We start from the raw sequence: 6,252 nt of genomic DNA on the forward strand, positions 1-6,252 counted from the left end.
GAAGAACCAGAAGAGAAGATAAGAATGAAAGGCAAGTTGTTTAATTTCAAATTAACATATCCCTCTTGTGGCCCTGAATTCACTCTTTCTCTCTGCCTGCCTAACTCTGGAGCTTTACTGTATTATTCAATAAAATGTCTCCCTCATCCCTCTTCTCCACGTTATTGGTCCTATTTCAAACCTCTTATTACTGTGGTCCTGTCTTTAAACATAACAATCCCATAGCATATTCTTACTACATCCCTAAAAACATCTCTGGTTCTTTATCATCTCTCTCTTTATTCCAGTTCATTATGTAGAACAACCTCAACTCCCTACCAAATCTTGGAACACAGTTCATCTTACCTCTCCATTTTATCTTACCAGGGTGGAATTCTGGCTCTTTCCTGAAAACACAGACTTCTCTACTGCTTCAACAAGGAGGCCTTTTCAAATATTTGGAGGTCCTTTCAAGTCAGTGGAAGTGAAGAGGAGGTGTGTCTGTGGCACACTCAGAACTTCACCACATAATGTAAACCATGAAGTATCAGAGCTAAATGGGAACCTTACTGATCACTAGTACAAAACCTTCCCCACCATGTTCTACAGACAACAAATGTGAGGCTCAGAGGGTTTTCCTTAAACTTCATATATCTCAAGATTTATTCATATGCTAATTATAACTATGATAGCTCAGACCCACTTCTCTCCTTTTATCACCTTCTTTGTGGATAACTAGCATATAGACGACTTTTTCCTCTTCACTTCTTCCCCAGCCATTTTCTCAGCAACATCTTTGTTGAGCCATGTATTAGTAAATATTTATTGTTGGTGACCTGTCAGATGCCAGAGACAGAGAAGTCATTGTTCCTCTAAATATTTGCCTTTGTGTTACATTTGCTACTCACCAACAATGATAGACCTTCATTCTATCCAGCTCTCTTTTAAACCACAATCTTCTTACAAGCTCTCTGATCTCACTGTGGCACTCAATTATCTGCTGTTATTCACTTCATTCAGATAACTGATGAACTTCATACTTTACTGGACTCCATCCCCAGCCTGACCATCATTACTCACTCCTATACCCATTATATTCTTGAGTTCTTGTAACTTTTACTTCTTGTCTAACTCACTAACTCCTGTCTCAAGGATCTTCTATAATTATCTCTACCTAATCCTTATCTCTACCAATCCCTTACCTGTTCAATTCTCCTTCTTATCCATGACCTCTCTCCACCTCACCTTCCATAGTAATATGTCTCTGCTTATGTGTCTGCTTTTGCCTGCTGACCACACCTTGACTTAGTCCTTCATCCTTGTATCGTCTGTTTGGTACTTGCCTGCTCACCATTAGACCATTGCTCCCAATTGGGAAGGTATGCCAACTATCATCCCAGAATCTCCCTCATAGTGAGTCTTGATAACCATCTAGATTACACTCTATGCCAGTTCAGCTACTTCTCAAGTCTTTTTTGATATTCTCTCCCACTACATGTCTGCTCCTTTCATGAGAAGAAAAAAAATGAAGTGAATAACATAGTTTGTTATAATATTGGCAGTTTAATGAAAGAAACTGATATTTGATAACAAAGATCCTAATTGCCATTCTTACTATTATTGCTTATGCTTATCATTTGGTTTATGTTCTGTGTAGTGTATAGAGAAGTGAGGAAAATGCTGCTAGTTATAAAATTTGTACTTATTTTGAGTTTGGTAGATCAACCCAGACTAAGGTGTATTTCGTTTGGAGACAGCGAGGTGATAGGCATGAACAGCAGTTAGTACAATCTGTAGGGAGGAACAACTAGTAAATTTATGATTTGAGGTCGAGGTTATACCTGTAGTGTGAAAAATAAACATTTGTTAACTAAAATTGTTATGCCTGGTTAGCAGTGACCAATATATAAAATTATTTGTGGAACTTCTTACCCATACCATGAAATACAAGACACATGGACTTCAAACATTGAAGTAAATTTGAAAAATGCTAGTGCTTAATCATAGGAACAAATGACTTTAATGAAGGCACATTCTCTTGCTAAAACCAGTCAAATGAATAGCCTTGGTTGTAAAAATTGAAGTGGGTTCTTATTTTTTAATTATGAATTGTCCTTCAGTAAAAGGTGGGATTATGATTTGCTATGGTGAAAGCTTCATTTCTTGTCATTTCTACTAGAGAAGGGAGGGCTATCTTCACTACCTCACCTCCACCTGAATGCTTCTGCCAAACAGAGCCAATTCTTTGTCATTTCCTGAATATACTCATTCATGTAGTTAGAGCTTGGGAGGGCTTCAGAACTCCCATAACCTCCATCAGCCCTCCAAAGCTATCACAAATAACTACCCAAGCTATGGAGTAGTGACATGTCTTCCATGAAAATGTGTTTTGTTTTTAGTTTTTTTGTTTTCTTTTTTACTTTACGAGAAGTCTCCTAAACATTGCTGCCATCCAGATTACCAACCTGAGTGACTCCTATATAAACTATCTGGACCTGCCATTGCTTTTAATAATGCTGGCCTCCATACTTGCAATGAATCCCTGATCCCAGTACTGACTGAGCAAATTCTGCTCTTCCTTCAATAACCACCGCAAATGTTGCTTTCTCTGAAAAGTCCTCTCTCATGCTGTACCCCAAATAGTGAATTTTTATTTTGTGATGTTATAATATTTTGCTAAAACAATGACATTTCTCGATTTACATTTTAACAATATTTTATATGAGTGTTCCCCATGTTAGACACTCAGCTTCCATATTCAAGATGATGTATTTGATATCCTAAGCTCCCAGTACAGTGACCTGACACAGGTAATTAATTAGCTAATACATGAATACATTATATTGTAAATTTTAAAATCAATAAGTGCAAAATTCTGATTATACCAGTTCAAAAATTGGGACAACCTAGATTGACCAGACTCAAGATTACCTTAGAAATTTATTTCTTCATATTTGCAAAATAATAGTAACTTTAATCAAGGACCCTAGGAAAATTTTAAGTTATTTTATATAAGAGAATTGATATACAGGAGGGAGGCAAAGCAAGATGGCTGAGTGTGTTGCGGGAAGTCACGGACCCCAAACAGAGAGACCGGCTGAAACCATGGCAGAAGAACGTGGATCGTGAAGATTTTATGGACATTTATTAGTTCCCCAAATTAATACTTTTGTAATTTCTTATGCCTGTCTTTACTGCAATCTCTAAACATAAATTGTAAAGATTTCATGGACACTTATCACTTCCCCAGTCAATATCCTTGTGATTTCCTATGCCTGTCTTTGCTTTAATCTCTTAATCCTGTCAGCTGAGAAGGATGTACATCGTCTCAGGACCCTGTAATAATTGTGTTAACTACACAAATTGTATAGCATGTGTGTTTGAGCAATATGAAATGTGGGCACCCTGAAAAAAGAACAAGATAACAGCAATTGTTCACAGAATACGAGAGATAACCTTAAGCTCTGACCGCAGGTGAGCCGGGCAGAACAGAGCCATATTTCTCTTCTTTCAAAAGCAAATGGGAGAAATATCGCTGAATTCTTTTTCTCAGTATGGAACATCCCTGAGAAAGAGAATGTGCACCTAGGGGTAGGTCTCTGAACTGGCCCCCCCAGGGCGTACCTGTCTCTTATGGTTGAGATTGCAGAGGTGAAATAAACTCCAGTCTCCCATAGCGCTCCCAGGCTTATTAGGAAGAGGAAATTCCCACCTAATAAACTTTGGTCAGACCGGTTGATCTCAAAACCCTGTCTCCTGATAAGATGTTATCAATGACAGTGGTGCCCGAAACTTCATTAGCAATTTTAATTTCGCTTAGGTCCTGTGGTCCTGCGATCTCGCTCTGCCTCCACTTGCCTTGTGATATTCTATTACCCTGTTAAGTACTTGATGTCTGTCACCCACACCTATTCGTATACTCCCTTCCCTTTTGAAACTCCCTAATAAAAACTTGCTGGTTTTTGTGGCTTGTGGGGCATCACGGATCCTACCAATGTGTGATGTCTCCCCCGGACGCCCAGCTTTAAAATTTCTCTCTTTTGTACTCTGTCCCTTTATTTCTCAAGCCAGCCGACGCTTAGGAAAATAGAAAAGAACCTACGTGATTATTGGGGAATTCTCCACCAATCATCCTCCTCACAGGAACACCAAATTTAACAACTATCTATGCAAAAAAAAAAAAAAAAGAAACCACCTTCCTAAGAACTAAAAATCAGGTGTGTGATCACAGTTCTTGGTTTTAACTTCATATCACTGAAAGGGGCATGGAAGAGGGTAGGAAAGACAGTCTTGAATGGCTGACACCACTCCTCCCTCATCTCCTGGCAATGGCTGCATAACAGAGAGAGAATCTGTGCACTTGAAGGAGAGAAAGTGCAGCAATTGTGGGGCTTTGGATTGGAACTCAGTTCTGCCAACACTGGGGAGAACTCAGCCAATGCCCATGGAGGGAGCATTTAGACCAGACCTAGCCAGAGAGGAATCATACCTCCCAGCAATGGGAACTTGAGTTTGGGCAAGCCCTGCCACACTGGGCTAAAGTGTTCTAGGGTGCTAAATGAACCTGAAAGGCAATCTAGGTCACAAGGACTGCAACTCCTAAGCAAGTCCTAGTTCTGTACTGGACTTGGAGCTAGTGGACTTGGGGGGGCACATGACCTAGTGAACACCAGCAGGGGTGGCTAAAGGAGTGTTTGCCTCACCCCTTCCCCAAACCCAAGCAGCACAGCTCACGGCTCCAAAAGAGACCCCTACCTTCTGCTTGAGGAGAGGAGAGGGAGGACTAAAGAGGATTCGTCTTGCAACTTGGATATCAGTTCAGCCACAGCAGAATAGGGCACTGGGCAGACTTGTGAGGCCCCTATTCCAGGCCATAGCTCCCAGATGACATTTCAAATTCTGGGCCAGAAGAGAACCCACTGCCTTGAAGGAAAAGACCCAGTCCTGGCAGGATTCATCACCTGCTGAGTAAAGAGCCCTTGGGCCCTGAATAGTCAGCAGTGGTAACTAGGTAGTACACACTGTGGGCCTTGGGTAAAACTCTAAGACATGCTGGCTTTAGGTGTGACCCAACATATTCACAGCTGTTGTGGCTACAAGGAGAGCCTGCTTCTGCTTGAGAAAATGAGAGGGAAAAGTAAAAGGGATTTTGTCTTGAAGTTTAAGTTCTGGCTCAACCACAGTGAGGTAAAGCATCAAGTGGGCTCTGGGGGTCCCCAATTCCAGGCCTTGGCTCTTGGACAGCATTTATGGACCTACCCTGAGCCAGAGGGAGCCAACTGCCCTGAAGGGTAAATAAAAAGCCTGATAGCATTCACCACAATCTGACTGAAGAGCCCTTGGGCCTTAAGTGAACATCAGTGTTACCCTGGCAGTATTCCCCATAAACCTGTAGTGGTCGTGGACATAGGGAGAGACTCCTCTGCATGAGGAAAGGGGAGGGAAGGGTGGGAAAAATTTTGTCTTGTATTTCTGGTTCCAGCTTAGCTGCAGTAGAATAGGGTACCAGGTAGATTTCTGACTCCAGGCCCCGACTCTGAGACAGCATCTCTGGATGTGCCCAGGGTCCAGGGGGCCTCACCACCATGAAGGGAAGTTCACAAGACTGACTGGCTTCACCACCTCCTGATTTTAGATTACTAGAGCCTTGAGCAAACATAGATGGTAGCCAGGTAGTGGTTACAGAGGGCCATGGGTAAGACTCAGTGTGTGCCAGCTTCAGGAATGACCTAGCACAGTTCCAGTGGTGAGGGCTAATCACCAGAAAGAATCAGTGAGTTTTAAGATAGAATATTTGAAAATATATAGTCAAGAGAGACAAAAGAAAAAAAGAATAAGAAAGAATGAAGATCAATCAATGAATGGATAAAGAAATTGTGATATACATATATGATGGAACACTACTCAGTCATAAAAGGAATGAATTAACAGCATTTGCAGCAACCTGGATGAGACTGGAGACTATTATTCTAAGTGAAGTAACCCAGGAATGGAAAACCAAACATCATATGTCCTCACTGATATGTGGGAGCTAAGCTATGAGGACACAAAGGCATAAGAATGATAGAATAGACTTTGGGGACTTGGGGGAAAGAGCATGAGCGGGGTGAGGGATAAAAGACTACACATATGGTGCAGTGTATACTGCTCAGGTGATGGATGCACCAAAATCTTATAAATCACCACTAAAGAACTTATGTAACCAAATACTACCTGTACCCCAATAACTTATGGAAACATTAAAAAACAAATAAAATGAAGAGGAAAGAAAGA

This window comes from Homo sapiens, chromosome X (assembly GCF_000001405.40).
Source record: "Homo sapiens chromosome X, GRCh38.p14 Primary Assembly".
In the NCBI taxonomy this organism is placed as follows: domain Eukaryota; kingdom Metazoa; phylum Chordata; class Mammalia; order Primates; family Hominidae; genus Homo; species Homo sapiens.